Source organism: Homo sapiens, chromosome 1, assembly GCF_000001405.40.
Source record: "Homo sapiens chromosome 1, GRCh38.p14 Primary Assembly".
Taxonomy (NCBI): Eukaryota; Metazoa; Chordata; class Mammalia; order Primates; family Hominidae; genus Homo; species Homo sapiens.
Window position 1 is genome coordinate 69,415,302 of NC_000001.11, and position 20,368 is coordinate 69,435,669.

The window sequence follows — 20,368 nt, forward strand, 5'->3', positions numbered from 1 at the left end:
TTAAACCTTAATTTTTTTTATACTTTAAGTTCTGGGATACATGTGCAGAACATGCAGGTTTGTTACATAGGTGTACATGTGCCATGGTGGTTTGCCGCACCAATCAACCCGTCATCTACGTTAGGGATTTCTCCTAATGCTATCCCTCCCCTAGCCCCCACCCCCAACAGGCCCCAGCGTGTGATGTTCCCCTTCTTGTGTCCATGTGTTCTCATTGTTCAACTCCCTCTTATGAGTAAGAACATGCGGTGTTTGGTTTTCTGTTCCTCTTTCCTGTTTTAGTTTGCTGAGAATAATAGTTTCCAGCTTCATCCATGTCCCTGCAAAGAACATGAACTCATCATTTTTTATGGCTGCATAGTATTTCATGGTGTATATGTGCCACATTTTCTTAATCCAGTCTATCATTGATAGGAATTTGGGTTGGTTCCAAGTCTTTGCTATTGTGAATAGTGTTGCAATAAACATACATGTGCATGTGTCTTTATGGTAGAATGATTTATAATCCTTTGAGTATATACCCAGTAATAGGATTGCTGGGTCATATGGTATTTCTGGTTTTAGATCCTTGAGGAATCACCACACTGTCTTCCACAATGGTTGAACTAATTTACACCTCCACCAACAGTGTAAAAATGTTCCTATTTCTCCACATGCTCTCCAGCATCTGTTGTTTCCTGACTTTTTAATGATCACCATTCTAACTGGCATGAGATAGTATCTCATTGTGGTTTTGATTTGCATTTCTCTAATGAGCAGTGATGATGAGATTTTTTTTCATATGTTTGTTGGACACATTAGAGTCTTCTTTGGAGAAGTGTCTGTTCATATCCTTCACCCACTTTTTGATGGGGTTGTTTGTTTTTTGTTGTAAATTTGTTGAAGTTCCTTGTAGGTTCTGGATATTAGCCCTTTGTCAGATAGATAGATTGCAAAAATTTTCTCCCATTCTGTAGGTTGCCTGTTTAACCTGATGATCGTTTCTTTTGCTGTGCAGAAGCTCTTTAATTTGATCCCATTTGTCAATTATGGCTTTTGTTGCCATTGCTTTTGGTGTTTTAGTCATGAAGACTTTGCCCATGCCTATGTCCTGAATGGTATTGCCTAGGTTTTCTTCTAGGGTTTTTATGATTTTAGTTCTTATGTTTAAGTCTTTAATCCATCTTGAGTAAATTTTTGTATAAGGTGTAAGGAAGGAGTCCAGTTTCAGTTTTCTGCATATGGCTAGCCAGTTTTTCCAACACCATTTATTAAATAGGGAATCATTTCCCTATTGCTGTTTTTGTCAGGTTTGTTAAAGATTAGATGGTTGTAGATGTGTGGTGTTATTTCTGAGGCCTCTGTTCTGTTCCATGGGTCTATATATCTGTTTTGGTACCAGTACCTTGCTGTTTTGGTTACTGTAGCCTTGTAATATAGGTTGAAGTCAGGTAGAGTGATGCCTCCAGGTTTGTTCTTTTTGCTTAGGATTGTCTTGGCTATACGGGCTCTTTTTTGGTTCCATATGAAATTTAAAGTAGTTTTTTCTTATTCTGTGAAGAAAGTCAATGGTAGCTTGATGGGGACAGCATTGAATCTATAAATTTCTTTGGGCAGTGTGGCCATTTTCATGATATTAATTCCTCCTATCCATGAGCATGGAATATTTTTCCATTTGTTTGTGACCTTTCTTATTTCCTTGAGCAGTGGTTTGTAGTTCTCTTTGAAAAGATCCTTCACATCCCTTGTAAGTTGGATTCCTAGGTATTTTATTCTCTTTGTAGCAATTGTGAATGGGAGTTCACTCATGATTTGGCTCTCTGTTTTTTCTATTATTGGTGTATAGGAATGTTTGTGATTTTTGCACATTGATTATGTATCCTGAGATTTTGCTGAACTTGCTTATCAGCTTAAGGAGATTTTGGGCTGAGACGATGGGGTTTTCTAAATATACAATCATGTCATCTACAAATAGAGACAATTTGACTTCCTCTCTTCCTATTTGAATGCCCTTTATTTCTTTCTCTTGCCTGATTGCCCTGGCCAGAACTTCCAACACTATGTTGAATAGGAATGGTGAGAGAGGGCATCCCTGTCTTGTGCCAGTTTTCAAAGGGAATGCTTCCAGCTCTGCCCATTCAGTATGATATTGACTGTGTGTTTGTCATGAATAGCTCTTATTATTTTGACATTTGTTCCATCAATACCTAGTTTGTTGAGAGTTTTTAGCATGAAGCGGTGTTGAATTTTATTGAATTGTAAAGGTCATCAACACTATGCAGAAACTGCATCAACTAATGGGCAAAATAAACAGCTATCATCGTAATGACAGAATCATTTTCACACATAACAATATTAAACTTAAATGTAAATGGACTAAATGCCCCAATTAAAAGCCACATGCTGGCAAATTTGATAGAGTCAAGACCCATCGGTGCACTGTATTTAGGAGGCCCATCTCATGTGCAAAGACACACTAAAAATAAAGGGATGGAAGAATATTTATTAAGCAAATGGAAAGCAAAAAAAGCAGGATTTGCAATCCTAGTCTCTGATAAAACAGACTTTAAACCAACAAAGATCAAAAGAGACAAAGAAGGCCATTACATAATGGTAAAGTGATCAATGCCACAAGAAGAGCTAACTATCCTAAATATATATGCACCCAATACAGGAGCACCCAGATTCATAAAGCTAGTTCTTAGAGACCTAGAAAGAGACTTAGACTCCCACATAATAATAGTGGGAGACTTTAACACCCCACTGTCAATATTAGACAGATCAATGAGACAGAAAATTAACAAGGATATTCAGGACTTGAACTCAGCTTTGGACCAGGCGGACCCAATAGACATCTACAGAACTCTCCACCCCAAAGCAACATAATATACATTCTTCTCAGCACCACATCACACTTATTCTAAAATTGACCACATAATTGGTAGTAAAACACTCCTCAGCAAATGCAAAAAAATGGAAATCATAACAATCACTGTCTCAGACCACAGTGCAATCAAATTAGAACTCCGGATTAAGAAACTCACTCAAACCACACAACTACGTGGAAACTGAACAACCTGCTCCTGAATGACCACTGGGTAAATAATGAAATTAAGGCAGAGATAAATAAGTTCCTTGAAACCAATTAGAACAAAGACACAACATACCAGAATCTCTGAGACACAGCTAAAGCAATGTTTAGAGGGAAATTGATAGCACTGAAGACTCACAGGAGAAAGTGGGAAGATCTAAAATTGACACTCTAACATCACAATTAAAAGAACTAGAGACGCAAGAGCAAACAAATTCAAAAGCTAGCAGAAGACAAGAAATAACCAAGATCAGAGCAGAACTGAAAGAGATAGAGACACGAAAAACCCTTCAAAATATCAATGAATCCAGGAGCTTGTTTTTTGAAAAGAATAACAAAATAGATAGACTGCTAGCCAGACTAATAAAGAGGAAAAGAGAGAAGCATCAAATAAACACAATAAAAAATGATAAAGGGAATATCACCACTGATCCCACAGATATACAAACTACCATCAGAGAATACTATAAACACCTTTATGCAAATAGACTAGAACTAGAAGAAATGGACAAATTCTTGGACACATACGCCCTCCCAATATTAAATCAAGAAGAAGTTGAATCTTTGAATAGACCAAGGATAGAACAGGTTCTGAAATTGAAGCAGTAATCAATAGCCTATCAACCAGAAAAAGCCCAGGACCAGATGGATTCACAGCCGAATTCTACCAGAGGTACAAAGAGGAGCTGATACCATTCCTCCTGAAATGATTGCAAACAATGGAAAAAGAGGGACTCCTCCCTAACTCATTTTATGAGGCCAGCATCATCCTGATACCAAAACCTGGCAGAAACACAACAAAAAAAGAAAATTTCAGGCCAATATCCCTAATGAACATCTATGCGAAAATCCTCTTTAAAATAATGGCAAACCAAATCTGGCAGCACATCAAAAAGCTTATCCACCACGATCAAGCTGGCTTCATCCCTGGGATGCAAGGCTGGTTCAACATATGCAAATCAATAAATGTAATCCATCACATAAACAGAACCAATGACAAAAACCACATGATTATCTCAATAGATGCAGAGAAACCTCAATGTTTAAAGTTAACATTAAATCCTTGGTGCAAGGATCCTTGGTGCCAGCTGATTTTTCAAGTATCTTTTTTTTTTACTTTAGATTGTGAGCTTCCGAAGGACCTTGGCTATTGCCATTTCCAAGATTATGGCCATGACCTGCAATTGAATTAGAATCTTTCAGAATGGGACCCGGGAATTTCTTTGTTTGTGTTTTGTTTTACTGTATTTTTTTACATATGCTAAGTGCTTTTTGGCAGCCAAGATTAAGGACAACAGCACTAAGGCCTCTAAGTGTTTCTCGGTTGCACTTATATACGCAAAACTATTTTTCCCCTTTTGTACCCAATAGTTACATTTATTAGTATGCAAATGTGTATAAGGTAAAACAAACATTTTATTATCTTTCCATAATTATTTCTATAAGCCCAATTTTTGCAATAAAAGATATTTGATCTTCGGATGAAACTGAATTATTTGTATTTAAAAGACTTTTTCTTCATGAATGATTTATATAAAACTTAAGTTTCTGTTATATTTAGTGTATTGAGTTTTATCTCAATATAGAATTCACTGGGATTCATCAAGCATTACTTAAAATAGTAAAGCTCAGAATACAAAAATTATGGGAACTTTGCAACTATTATTGCCTCCTTGTTATTATATCTGAATGGGAAAAAAAAGAATTAAACCTGATTTATATAGGCCTTTAGAGGCAGACATTGAGCTAGATGATATCCTTCCAGATAATTTAACATATTATTATAACGGTAGGTAGAATTCTAAGATGTCTCCCCAAGATTTTCCTTGCCTCTGAAGTGCATGCCCTGTATAATCCTAGGGATCATGAAGACAATAGATTTTACTCCTGTGATTAGGTTGTGTTACAGTTGACTTTAAGAAAGGGAGATCATCCAGGTGGGCTTGACATGATCACATGAACCCTTTAGAGTTCTGTCCAACTGGTAGCAGAAGAAGTTGTAAGAAAGATGCATTCTGGCTGGCAGTACAAAAGCAAGCATCATCTTGTAAATTGCCAATAGAGAGGGGTAACCATGAGGAGTTGAGGCCCCCAGCTGATAGCCACCAAGGAGAGAAGGATCTCAGACCTACTATCACTAGAAACTGACTTCTTCCAACATACAGTGAGTTTGGAAGGGGACTCCAAACCTCAAATGAGAACTGCAGCCCCAGAAGACATCTTGATGTCAGCTTTTGGCTACTTTGAGCGAAGAATCCAGTTGTACCATGTCCATACTTATGACCTAAATAACTGTGAATTGACAAATGGGTGTTGTCTTAAGCTGTTAAATTAAGGCAATTTATTACATTGCAATAGAAAACTAATACAGATTTTGGTACCCAAAAGCCAGGTGCTACTGTAACAAATACCTGAAAATATGGAAGGGCTTTGGAACTAAGCAGTGAGAAGAAGCTGGACATTTGAGAACAGTGTTGAGAAGCATGCCAGAGAAAGCCTCAATTGCCTTGAACACACTGCTAGTAGAAATATGAATGTTGAAAATGCTACTGATGAGGGTTCACGAGGAGAAGAATATATTATTGAATATGGGAGCAAGCAGGTTGGATCCTTGTTCTATAGTGGTGGAAACTGTGTCCTACAGTTATGTATAAAGCTGAATTTATATGTGATGAACTTGGGTACAGAGCTAAGAAGATCTACAAGCAAGTGATTGAAGATTCTGCCTGATTTGTGGCTTATAGTAAAATGAGAGAAGAAAGATGAGAGATTGAGGGAAGAACTGTTAAACTAAGAAATTCACTGTCTGGAAGCATATTCTAGAGAAAAGACTGACCCTTTTGCTGAAACTTCAAAAAGCCTTTTTTGCTGAAACTTCTAAAGATCAAAAGGTCAGAGTCACAAGATATTAAGGGCTTGCCCTACAGAGCATCTCAATCAAACCAGAAAGCCTCGAGGAAGCTCGAGAGTATTATTCCTAAACCACCTCAACAGAAGGCCAGAACAGAAAAGCCATTATTTCAAAAATCTGTGGATGTTGCCTTTATCTAACAGAATAAATGCCCTATGAAACCACACAAGGTCCACAAAATTCTTGAGAATATTATGTCAGCAGAAACATTTCCCACTTGGAGGACAAGAAACAGAAAGAGTGTGAAGTAAAAAGAGGCTTTTGAATGCTCAGAATTTTATAGGAAGGTTGATAAAAATACTCAGCCCCACTGTGGATAAACAGAGATGACTCAGAGGACAGAAACCAAAACTCAAAGGTATAACCAAGTCCCAGGAGGCAAAATCAAGAGCCTTGGAGGATTGTTCCTAGGCCTAGAAACCTAATCAAGGAAGTCTGGCTGGATTGTCCAGCAGGATTACAAGACTTCTTACTTTATTTTTATCTTAATATTTGTGTTTATTTTTGGTTCTATTTTGAGCAGGAATGCCTGTAATTGTTATCCTATGCCTGCCCCATGATGATTGTTTGTTGGGAGTGTTTGGGGCACATAACATGTTTCTTTAGTTTCAAAAGTTCAAAGATGTAGAGGAATTGCGTCCACAACTTTCATTTAATGGGTTACTCATTGCCACTTAATTTAAACGATTTAGATGAGGAAATTTGGGACTATGAACTGAGGCTGTAATGAGATGAGATCTTTGGTCACTTTGGGAAGTAGAAGGGGAAGATATAGACTGGACTAAAAGTGTGCAGCACCTTAAGGATAGAACAAGTGGTATATTCCTTAGGTAATAGGAAATCAGAAATAACTCATTAATTTTAAAAAGTGATAAAGTTCAAGAAATGCCTAAAGTAAAAGGCTCTGCCTCTGCAATGTAAGATTTTTTTAAAAAAATTAGTGTGTGAAATGAGGCATCATTCAGAAAACGAAAAAAGTTACTGTAAAATAAGCTTGATCTCAAAGAGATTTAGCTTCTTGTCAGGGATGACCCTACAGATTTAAAGGTTACATAAAGTAGGATGTAAAGATTTTTCATCATTAATCATTTTAGAATTTGCATTTTGGTTGGAAATACTCATTGAGCTCTTTGATGTTTCAGAAATTATAAGCTTTCTTCCCTTTATGTCAAGAATGGTTGTGTAAATACTCTCATGTTTGTATTTATTTATTCCTTACAGATTTAAGGCAAGCACCTCATCAGCATTGCATATGTGATAGTATTTTAAAGTATAAATTATAAAAACCTTAATTTCCCCCAATTACCTTTATTTTAACTGTAAAGGATGCCATTTCTCCCAGAGTATTATTGTACCATGCATTCAACTATAATGAGCCTACTTTTTTTTTTTGTTTAAGAAATTCCAGAATTGTATGCTTTATGCTCCCAAAAACCTTGTCACAGTTTCTTTAGCAGATTATGACCTCCTGTGCTGTAACTGATGACAGTATATCCTGGATTTATAATGTGAATAAATCTTCTAGACTCTCTGTTGACTGTGGAGTTTTCTGAATTTTAGCAGAAACATTGAACCATAGTCCCACCAATTAATGAGAAATCAGCTGCAATAATAGGTCATTTTCACAGAAATTTTGGCATAGGCCTGAGTGATCTAGAAACCGTGTCATATGAGGAATGACTAGAGAAATTAGGGACATTTAATCAGGTGGAAATGATGCATACTTAGCGTTCACTAAAGGGACTGGTAGCAATGGGAGAACATTAAATACAAATCACTATTTGGAAGTCATACCTAAAACCTTGATTTTTTTTCCAGAAAAATAGTTTCTCCTAAATGATCTGTGAACATTTTCTAGGACAGCTAATTGATAGCCTATCAAGTATTCATTGGGCACCACAAACTTTACTGTTTGTGTAGCAGCATCGGGTGAAATTGATTAAAATTCCTTTCAGCGCTCTCTAGGATTCTATCTTGCAGGATTTCTGATGTAAAGAAGGCCAACTCAGCTGGTACAAAGAGAAAAAAATACATGACTCAAGGTGACCTATATTATTTTTGAAATAGAAACTTTGCCTAACAGAATTCAAAGCAAAAGTAAAAGCATACTATTCCAAAAAGATCCGACAGCAACTTTGGAATTCATCTGGTTCAAACTCCTAATTTTTCTAATGAGGAAACTGAGACCCAGGGAGTTGAGGTGACCTGCCTACGATCACACTAAGGTCACACTCCTAAAAGATAAACAAGTGAACTCCAGATTCCTGGTACTTAGGTTGTAGCTCTCAGCACTGGCCTGGGCTGTGTTACAACTGCAGCTCTGTTGGTTATTTATTCCTTACTGAATATCCTTAAATATTAGTGTATCCTTCCTCAATTTCCCTCTATCATCTCACACAGTTAATTGACAATATTGATTTCTTCTTCTCTTCCCTATCCTTCCACATCCTCTCCAACCTCACACTAAACACTCAAAGACCTAACTACTTCAGTGAAATAACAATGGGCAGACAGCTGCCTGATCTCAAGTAACGTGGACTTGAGGTCTTAGGGACAAGGTAGCAATACTAAGAGGGGAAAAACTATTACTTGCTATTGTCAGAGCAGATCAGAAACCCTGATCAGAAGCCAAAAGTCATGACAACGAAAATAAAAGGGAAGAAGAAATATAAAGAGGTGATTCTGTAGGAAACCTAGGACTAAAAGATTTCTAGGCACAGACAAAGCACGAAATTTTGGTCACAAACTCCCTTTCCCTTCCTTGACCTTCTGAAGCTCTGATCCTACTCATTACATAAGAGACCCACATACTTGCCCCAGAATATAGACACTGTCAACAAACTCTGACACCAAACTTACATAGAAAAATACATCTCCTACAGGTTTCCAGCCCTTTCTGGAATTGTTTACTTACACTAGGGACAACAACACAAATATTAAGGTGCTGTTCTCTTTTATTTAGTGGGTTTCAAATATTTTTTATAGATTTTTCTGATGATAGCTTAAATATTTAATAGAAAACTAGTTCAAATTGGTTATCTCAAAATTTGATCTTAGGATTCAGAATGAAAAGAAAACTTGTTTTTAGCTGGCAATGCATACCTCGGCTAACCCCACCAAGCACCCCCAGGCCTCTGTCAATGTATTTTTTGGTTTAAATATGTGTATCAAGTAGTATGTAGGATGTTAGTCTGTTTATTCTCAGATCCTTTTTTATGTGAGGCATTTCAATGTGTAGGGTAGTTCAGTCTATTCTTCTGCTTTCACTTTGAAATTTTATTTCCCTTCCGCTATTATACATTTTATATTCTAAATAGGAAAGTGCATTAAGTAACCATTGATTTTTTTTCTCCCACTCTCCTCTGCACACTGAATACTTTTGAGAAAACATTAGGCTTCCACATGGGAATCTAGGTTAAGTATCAAAATATATTTTTTACACAGTGAGGCTAGAGTAGGATTGATAGGGAGATGAAATATTGATGTCATTTTTTGATGATCAATTAACTGCTTGTTTTCAAAAATGTACTTGATAAAAATTTAGAGGAAATTATATCCATCCATATACAGTTGGAAGGTTGGGGTATTATAACATCTATGTCAAACAAGTCCAAGGACTCCAGCATGGATATACAGTAGTCAGTAAACCCAGAAAATAAAGAAGCCTTGATAAAATACGTTTGGTAAGGTATATTGCTAACTTATTTTATCCATCCAGGGTTCTCCTGACATAAAAGTCAGAGAGGAGCTACTTTGGTCAAATATCTATCTGTAACAAGGCCTGAAGGTGTTCTTAATCTCGGGACATATGAAGACAAAATGCCTTGTTAAAAATGACCAAACTCACCATGAGAAAATAGATGTCAACTTATGTTACTATATGTAATTATATACTACTTATGCTAAATTATATTTAGGTTGCAATAAATATTTGAAATTTATCCTTTTTAAAGACTGACAGAAATGAGATTCTGTGTCTTTAAGTCTAAGTCTCTTTTCTCATCCTCTTCTGTTCCTCATTCTTCTGCCTACATGGCCTATGTACTGAATCATGGGATGCTCTTGTTTATACTCACTTACAGTGAATGTTGATATCTTGTATTTGGCTAACATTTCTAAATCTGGAAAGTATGTTATCTTTCTTCAAAGCTAGGTTGAGCACTAGATCCTTATCAATGGTATGTTGCATGTATTGGGAAAGCCACAAATTGGAGTGTATAAAAACTGAAGTGTTATATTTTATTTTAGTGGCCTTAATTTATTTTAAATATAATTTCAGAAATTGGCTGTACAAATTCCAGAGGAAGGGTGGGTTTATTTAACACTGTGGTCTTCCCATGTTAGGAGTCAGATAACACAATAAAGTCTATATTATTGTTTGTCTATTATAACACCTATTGACACATACATGTTCCCATCTGACCTATGGTCATAGATTCACCCAGGCTGCTGTTTATTCCAAATTTAGGGCACTAATCCCTATGCCATGGCTGTACTGCTCTCCATGCATAAAGGATATGTTTTATGAATTTGAAACACATCAGGGTCTGGGTACCTTTCACACTGATACTTTGGAAGGCACCACTTTAGCTCTATGAGCATTCTTAATGTGTGGTCACACCAAGTGTATCCTGAATAATTTCCTATATCCTTCCTCAAGAAATCTTCATGTGGTGTGGCAGGGGCAGAGCACAAATCTACTTCTTGAGGAAATGCCACATACTAAGCTGTTTACATTCTCTCTCATCCTTCTCTCATTTTCTCCCAGAGAAACTCCATCTAATCTGGGGAGAGAGATAAGGTGGGTAGTCTGTTTTCTCATCCTATCTTTCAAAGTTATCACTTGTGTCATGTGATATCTGAGTTCTTGAGAGTTTAGGCTTTTGAATAACTGAGGACTGGATTTTGGTAATCCTATAGAATTTTGCTTTTTAAAATGCTGTATTGTTCCTCCAAAGGGAGAAGTACAAAGGGTACAAGAAAATCTGAGGAAAACTCTTTGGTAAATATTTCAAATACCAGCCTTGGTATTTACTTTCCTCTAAAATGGTTTGCACACATCCTGCTGTGCCTTCCAGCATTATGTGAATTTCTCCTCCAGTTGCCTCTGTCTTCTACACAAACTGCAACAACAGGAGGGAACGTTACTTTCCCTACAAAAGTGCTGATTTTTAATTTTCTGTTTATGACATTAGTGGCTCCCCTATTGAGAAGAAATATGGATGCCATGACACACACTGAGCTATGTCATTAAACATTTTCCACTCTGCCACACCTCCATCCTGCTGGCTTTGGTAGCCCAGCAGTATAATCATGTAATAAAACTATACTCAATATTTTATGAGCTTCAGAAGCATATAATAAACTCTTAAGTGCTATTGATATACGTAATGCCAAGCAATCAGTACAGATCAAAGAATCAGCTAGTTTAGCAGGATGAGATCCAATTTGAGCTGCTGTCATTGAGGAAGGGTCATGTTTAGTGGTTTAATATCAAGAGTATTACAGTAATTGACTCTTCTGTTGAGTACAGTGCAGATGTTAACACTACATTGCAGTAGAGTAACATATTTAATAAGTAAATGACACAACCTCAATCTTGGCTTAAAGGACAGTAGCTGAATTTGCTGCAAGGCCGACATATAACATGAACACTATAGACTCTATGTCCATAATACATAAACCTTATGACTGTTAATAATTAATTAAACTGAAGAATTATTGTCTTCTACAACCCATCCTTCCTAAACCTTAACTGAACTATGTTGTCTGGTTAGAAAAAAAAAGTTAAAATAAAATTAACAAGTATATAATTAAATTTTAAAAAGCAGGACAAGCATCATATGAGAAGTAATTTTTTAATGTGTTATGAAAGGTAGATTGAATGTTCACATTCAGTTGGAGAGATCCAAAAGTCTTCATGGAGAAGTTGTCACCTAAGACAAGTTTTAGAAGATGACTAAGACTTTAAATAGCAGACATCATGCATAAAAGTAAGAAAATATTAACGTGAGTAAGATGGAGAATAACATGACTAAATAAGAAAAATATGGGGGACATCCAACAAGTAGGTTTGATCTATGTGACTGGAGCATAGGGTAATTAAGAGCAGAAGGTAAACTAAAAATGGGTCTGGAATTGGTAGGTGCAGCAAACACTATGGCGCATATATACCTGTGTAACAAACCTGCATGTTCTGCACATGTATCCCAGAAGGTAAATTTAAATTTAAAAAAAAAAAACTAACTACGACCCCCGCAAAAAAAAAAAAAAAAAAAAAAATTGGTCTGAAGCCAGATACTGAAAGACCCGACATATCAAGTTAAGAGTATCTACCAAAGTTGTTAGGCAATAAGAAGCTACTGAGGGAATCAAACTATGTTGACTGTGTTTTCCGCAATTTTTCTGGATTGAGAATAAGCTGTCACATATAAAAACTAACTCTTACTCTTTTTTCTTGATGCTTTTTTCTATGTCTATTTTTAAATCTAGGTTCCCAATATTAATCCTTGTATTTCACTCTCCTCTGCCACATAAACACACAGACACACGTACGAATGATCATGTGTCCACACAACCTGGCAAACTCCTTTCCAAGCTGACCTACTGCTTGTTGTTTTATTATTGCCTATGTGTATTTTTTTTCTACCATGAAAATATACGCAATAGTTTTAGATTAAAATTATGATGATTTCTGGTCAATTTTTTGAGAAGCCCAACTTCCATTCACTACATTTTTTTCTTTTGCTGTTTACATCACAGAGGCTAAAAAAAAGAAAAAAATAAATACTCACTCTGTCAGATTTTCTTGCAATGGAGACCTGTCCTGTGATAGATATCTTGGTACAGGAACACAAATCTTTTTTGGTGGCTTCTGGGAAAGCTCTTGCCCAGGCACAAGGGTTGAATTAGTATCATTAGCACCACTTCCTTCCTCTGTCCTCTTCCTGAAATGTGAACATGATGCTTGTAACTGAGGATAGTGGGGAGACCAAGGGGATTTCAGAAATGTTGGTTTTGATATCTTTGAGCTATTGAACTAATACTAACAGACTATCTACATATATCTAATTATATGAGAAAAGTAAACCTCAAGTTGCTTAATCCAATGTTAGTATACTTGCTGCCAAAACAATGTTCCTATTATACGATGTTTATTTACTTTACATAAATCTTGACTTTACGTAAATCTATAGAGTGTGTTTAAGTCAAATAACTTATTTGCTACAGTCCACATATGCCGAGTCTCACTTTTTTCATTTATAAAATGAGGAAAATATCACCTACTAAGAAGAATTATCAGAACTAAGGGCAATAAAACATCTAATACAGGATTTAAAAAGACATCTAGCACAAGGCCTGGCCCAGAACAGTCAACAAATAAATACATTAAAATAAATGAATAGATGAATGAATAAGACATTTATACCTCTGAGAAGCTCATTTGAATGGTATTAAATTTTTATTGGGTTGATTGCTTAGATGTATCTTTGAACAATCTTCTTGGTGATCTTTTCTTGCTATTAGAAGAAAGTTGAACTTCAAAGAATATTTGCAACCAGTCCAAATATAGATTTGGAGGTCAGTATTATGTCTACAGTTAAGGTAAATGATTGAGACAGCATTTTGGGTTTGGTGTCTCTACCTTGAAGCAGAACTTGATACTAAATCAATCTTGGTGATCAATAGGTGACAAATATCATATTCAAATTTAATGCTGGTGTGATTTCACATCACATCAGCTTGCTAATGTGGTTGGAAGCTTGCTAATGAAATCTTTTGACTTCTATGACCCAAGATTATATTCCTTCTTTATTTGTGAATGGCTTAAACACTTACTATACAGATAGTTGGATATACTAAAAGCTCTCAACATTATATAGGAACTACAGAATACTGTTTGTTAAGGACTCTTGCTATATTATGATTCCACTCAATACTATTGACCTTTAGCATGATGTTGACTGATACTAAAAAATATTTATTAATTTAGTGCTTAAACAGCAAAGAAGCAGCCATTGTATGAAGAGGAGTACTCACATTTAGTCACTGTCAAATCAATATCACACTCAAGAATTTGATACATGAGCAGAAGATAATATCTAGCTCCTAGATGAAGAGGGGGCATAGCAAACAAAGTCAGATCAAAAGAGGTTGAAGAGTATGTAGGTTGAAGCTGGCAGCTTGGGGACTGATCTTATCAATCTTCAGCATCTTCTTGTAAGATTAATCTATGACAATTGGATTTGTATACAGATTCTTACAAAACTTTATTTAGAATTTTTGAAACTGATTTTGTTTTCAATCACAAAAGTTGGCTACAAGGTCTTGTATTTAATTACATCAAAATATTTTCCTTTATAAATGATTCCTACCCAGAACTCCTGCTGAACATGTAGAAAGTCAGAAGAAATTTTACAGAGGGCTCTTTACTGGGGCTCACTCCCAGAATCTAGGTTGAACCTTTAAAACAATAAACATGACCTCATTGGTCACAATGTCACAAGTGAAAGAATCATGGACTTCAAAAAGCTCCAGTAAAACTTTTTGCTTTCGAAGTTGAATAAAGGACAAGTAGAAATATGCTCAGCATTTAGACAATTTCATATTCAAAAAGAAAAATTTTCCATTCGGAGCATTTTTCAAGGTCTTCATATCAATGATGTGAATGTATTGTTTACTCCCTTTATTATTTCAGTGGATTGTAATGTGGACACTTTCTTCACACATCAACATAGGAGAGAGCAAGGGTGGGAACTTTTGAACAGAAATAATGGATGTGGTTTTAGATTTAAAAAATTTTTCTCCAGTAAAAGTGAAATTTTTCCTAAATTTCCAAAAAATATTTTTTTATTAAACAATAAACAAGTATTTCAAACCATACTGAAGATAGTGGCTTTTCATGTCAAAATTTGCTAGATAAATTAAGATAGAGCTAGGCACAGTGTCTCACTCCTGTAATCTCAACAGTTTGGGAGGCCGAGATGGGTGGATCACTGGAGGTCAGGAGTTTGAGACCAGCCTGACTAAATGGTGAAACTCCGTCTCTACTACAAATACAAAAATTAGCCAGGAGCGGTGTCACAGGCCTATAATCCTAGCTACTCAGGAGGCTAAGGCAGGAGAATCATTTGAACCCAGGAAGCAGAGGTTGTGGTGAGCTGAGATTGTGCCATTGCACTCCAGCCTGGGCAACAAGAGCAAAACTCCATCTCAAAAAGAAAATAAAAATAAATAAAAAATAAAAACAAAAAATAAAAAATAAAGATAGAATAAGCTAATCACAATGGCAATACCCCTGGTGTATGTCTTCACAGTCAAGGAGCACTTTGCTAACACTAAGAAGGGGATGAAAAAAAAAAAAAGCACATTTGTGTTTATGGAAACTTAACATAAAGGTAATTAAGGTAAGGATTGAGATTATATCATTCTGAATTAGAGGTGGGCCCTAAATTCAATGAGAGAAGCCACAGAAGTGACAGAAAAAGTTACACAGAGACAAAAAATGGAGGTCACGTGAAGACAGTTGCAGAGACTGAAATTATGCCAGCAACAAGCCGAGAAATGCCAGGAGCCACTGGAAGCAGAAAGAGGCAAAAAACCACCTACTAGAGCTTTTGGAAAGAGTATCACCCTTCTAACATCTTGATTTTGGACTTCTGACCTTCAGAACTATTAAAGAATAAATTTCTGTTGTTTTAAGTCATCAACTTTGTGGTCGATTGTTGCAGAAGCTCTAGGAAGTAAATATAAGTATGTTCCATCCTCTGAGACTTCTTATGCTTTGAAAGCTACAAAGTTCAGATACTCATTTTTCCAACATTCCTCACAGACAGGGCTCAGGCCAAAGGTCTAGGTTCTGTCACAGATTTAGTTATCTATTGCTAAATACCAGTAGCCACACTCATGGTGGCTTAAAAAACACACACTTTTAATTTCATAATTTCTGAGGGTCAGCAGTCTGAGCAGCACTTAACCGGTAGATGCTCTGTCTTGGGGTCTCGTAACACCTCAAATTGTCATCCAGGGTTGTAATCTCATCTGAGGCTCAGCTGAGGTAGGTTCTGTTTCCATGTTTATGTGGTTATTGGCAGCATTCAATTCCCTAAGGATTCTGGACTGGGGGCTTCAGTTGTTGCTGGCTGTCATCTGATGCTACCCTCAGTTTCTTGCCAGGTGGTCCTTTTCAGCATGGCTGCCTGTTTCCCCAAAGTCAGTAAGGAAAAGGGTCTCTTTGGAAAAGGAGTATTACAATCTTATGTAACATAATCGCATACATTCCAATCACTGTTTTCTATTACTTACAAGCAAGTCTCAGGCTCTGCCCACACCCAAGGGGAGGGGATTACACAAAGGCCCTAGGAGGTAGGTATTGTAGGAGCCACCTTAGAGTCTGTCCACACAGTAAGTTGGACCCATCTGTACTTTAAATGGGGAAATGGTGACATAGAGAATTAGGAAGAGTGAGGAATCCATTCTGGAGTCACTAGCGATGGTGGCAGCAGTATTCTGCTCCCAGGACAGTGGTCTCCAGGGCCCAATAACTGCATTTTACTGGCAAAATACCAGTACTAGTAGGGGGTGCTACTGAGACTTGAGTTCATGGGGAGGAGCTGCTGTCATCAAATTAGTTCTAAAGCATGATTTTGGCTACGGTTTTGGCTACAAAACCTCTCTTGCTTCTACTCATTTTATTCGTCTGTTTCTTAACCTTCCCTGTGATTTTGTGAGCTACCTGAAAACTTTCTAATATATTCATTTTATGCTTTAATCAACTACACTTGATTCCTATTGTGTGTAATCAAGAACCCTCACTGATACACTTAGTAAACTAAAGATTGCTTTCTAGGATTCCAGTCTGCCTACCTACACCTCTCCTGCCTTTCCTTACTATAAACAATAGAGACTACGATCATTAAACTTGGATGTAAACATAATCTTGTTTCTCTCTAGAAGAGCCTCCCTGACTCCTCAATTAGGTTAAGTATTCCAGCTATATGTTTCTATAGCATTTCCCCTTCGTAACAGTTATTACGCTTGACTGTCATTATTTTTCAAATAAAGTATTCCCAAGTAAACTCAAAGTCTCCTTTCTCCACAGCCTTCATTAACCTCTAAATCAGTGCTGTTAGATAAATAGAGTTTAAGTGCTAAAATAATAAATGTATAAGTGAAATTTTATTACTATGTTCTCTATAGTCCCAGTCCCACCTAGTAATCAATTGTGTCTAACATTGGATAGCTCTATTTGTCAAAAGTGTAGAGTTAACCTTTGCTGTCATTATTTTGAATTTTTATTCTGAAAATACTTGTTGCATAATTCATTCATGATAAGAATTCACATTTCCTCAATTCAGTGTCAGAAAGCAGAAGTATTATTTCATCTTTTGGTCTACCTAGATTCCTTATACTATGTTCCAAAACTTTATGATATTTATACAATAGCAGATTAAATTCTTACTGGATGTTTGCAACCAAGTTTATCTGTTTTATTGCCATATATTCACTACACTTTCAATATTCTTTTTTTCTTCCCTTCACATATTCTTTGCTGATCTACTATATCACCATGTTCTCTCAGCATAGCTTTGTTTATATCTTTCCTTTCATTCCAGTGCTCACTTCCTCCTTCTACAAATATTGAAATGCTACTCATCCAACAAAAATATAATGCTTTCTGCTACCATTTCCCTGCCAAGCCCAAAGTGACATTTTCCTACTTCAAACTCTCACACTTATTATTTTATAACTTCTGTAATAATTATGTATGTCTTATCTCTTTTAGTACAATATAAGTTGCTTGAGTATAATGTATGACTGATTCATCTTTATATTCTCTGATTACTTTATATATACCAGGCATGCTGTAAATACCTGACTGATCTTACAGTGAGGAGAATATAGGATGGAATGGATATAAGAGCAATCCCATTAAAGACTACCTGTGGCTATTAGTCACCTTCCAAACAAAAGATGCTGAGTTCTCTAAATTGCTTTATGTGAGATGTAACACAAAACCACATGTGAGTATAACCTAAAAGAATTGTGTAATCCAAATAATGCCATGCATAAAAACCTTGTAGAATTAATCACCTCCCTCAGTTTCTGTAGTATTCATTAATGGTACTGTGTGCCAAACATTTTTGGATTTATTCCATCTATCTTCCAGGCACAGGCACAATTTGGGATTGTGTGGAGTTTTGTGACTTGTTCAATGAGTGTGAGTGAGAGTGACATCTGCCAATCCAAAGCCATAGAATTTAATAGCCTAATGAGATTTTAAGAGACCTTCTTTCACTTGGGCATGGTGACTTACTGCATTTGAGATGATGCCACCCCACATTCTGGGTCCCTGACACACTATGATGAAGAGAGCTTTTTGCTAACCTAAAATGGACATTTAGCATGAATGAGAAATAAAACTGTGGATTGTAAGTGACTGAGAATCAAAGTTATTTGTTACAATAATGTAAGCCTACTTATTCTAACTGATGATACGTTTATTTTCTTTACCATCCAGGAAGCCTGGAGATGTTTAATAGTATAGTATGCTTATGATTTTTAATTTCTCACTATTCTTTGCTTCACATTTCCTGTCACCAACTGTTTAGAACATCAGCCATAATTTATGCACATGCAAAAGGAAGTTAAAATTATTGATGGGAAAAATTAGCTGTTATGAATTGGATATGGAGAATGATTTATTCAATAAAAATATAGAAATATAATAGAATAAATTCTTTTAGAAAAGAAGTAAAGGATTAAACTTTAAATGTAGAACGTCATTAATATTATACTACTCTCAAATTCCTATGGACTTTTGTTGTTTATTTTGAGAATTATCTATAAAACAAAGACAAGATGATGAATGCAACGGATAAAATGTGTGGGTTTTAGGCTATGATTATAAAGGTAACTTTTTCTATGGTAAAAATCTGAATTTTTATTAGATGAGCATGTTCATAGAGAAAATTTATATTAATATACAAATATATTATTATACCTTTTAAAGAAGAGTGTTACATTTGTCATATGTTACCCCAAATTTTAATGAATTATTTTTCTTTTATAGAAGATCTAAATTTTAGAGATAAGTTACTTGCCATAGGACACAATTGCAAGCAATAAAAGTTTAAAAAATAATATGATCTGCACACTTACTCTTGGAGTTAACCATTTTAACCATCTGATGGCCAAGAAGCAATTTTAGCATAATAAGCTTTTTCTATAGAAGATTACAGTAGAAATTCTAGCCTAGAGGATCCTTAATTATGATGAATTAAGAATTCAAAATACTTAATTATGATGTTATTTTAGCTCACTATGACTTTTGAGGTGTTAGGAAACTTCTTTATGTGTCTAAGAAGGACCATTTATGACAATGGTAAAGTATGGAGAGGCCAGTAAACAAGGGAGCCATCACAGTCTTATGGGAGCCATGAGGAAGGATAGAGTAAGGTCTTACCTTGGAACATGCAAGGGCAAGAGCAGTTGAGGCGAAAGAGTGAAACTTTTCATAACTATTGTTATTTTCTAGGCATACAGGGCTCAAGATAAAGTTTATCATCATCAGTCCCAAATCCAAGTCTCAGTCAGGACACAGAAATCACTCTAAGTATTTTTTAACAAAGAGAGATTTCACATAGGGGATTAATTGCTTACAAAATCTTTGAGAGAACTAAAGATGCAAAGGTCAGGGATAACTTCTGCTATCTTTTAGGTTCACCACTACAGGAATAGTGTGGAAAACCAGGTGGTAATAAGGGTCTGCCAACCAAGACAAGGAACTCCAGAAAACTATTATTGATGATCACAGCAAAACCTCTGCAGAAATTTCACATCTGCTGAAGCCCATGGCATTTGCCTAGTACTGCCAAAGGAAAAAATAATGTCTTCTGGTCTCCATTCCACCTTCAAAATCATGCTCCAGTGCACCTTGTTGTTAGAACATAAATTGTATTCTATTCCACAGAGTCAAGAGAATCTAGAGAATTTGATTTCTAAATTCCCAGCTCCTTCAAAACAGAAGAAACCTTAGAAGGGTTTTGCTGCTTGCAAAATGAAATTAAACCTGCACACTTATTTCTGTTCTCTTAATAAAGACTTTGAAGAGATTAATTCATGATACCTGCAATGTTTCTCAGATTTCCTTGGACAATCTCAAATCATTCATACCTGTGCCTCTCCCTCACTTTTCAGTTGCCCTGCTCCCAAACACCTTCACTCTCATCCACTTTTTTTTCTCTTTGTCCTACTCCCTTCCCTTCATTCCTTTATGCTACTCAACTTAAAAATGAAAAGCAAACAAATGAACAACAACAACAACAAAAACATTGAACAAGCTTTGGATTTCCCACTGGATGTAAGCTTCAGGCTTTTAAGAAATT

The 20,368-nt window shown here is 36.0% G+C and overlaps 1 long non-coding RNA gene across 1 annotated transcript; it reads left to right on the forward strand.

Annotated features, from left to right (window-relative positions):
• The first annotated feature begins 17,953 nt into the window (after positions 1–17,953).
• LINC01758 (long intergenic non-protein coding RNA 1758) lies at positions 17,954–20,108 on the forward strand. The gene is made up of 2 exons (NR_147164.1): positions 17,954–18,004; positions 19,702–20,108. It is a non-coding gene; the product is annotated as a long intergenic non-protein coding RNA 1758 (long non-coding RNA).
• The last annotated feature ends 260 nt before the right edge of the window (positions 20,109–20,368 follow it).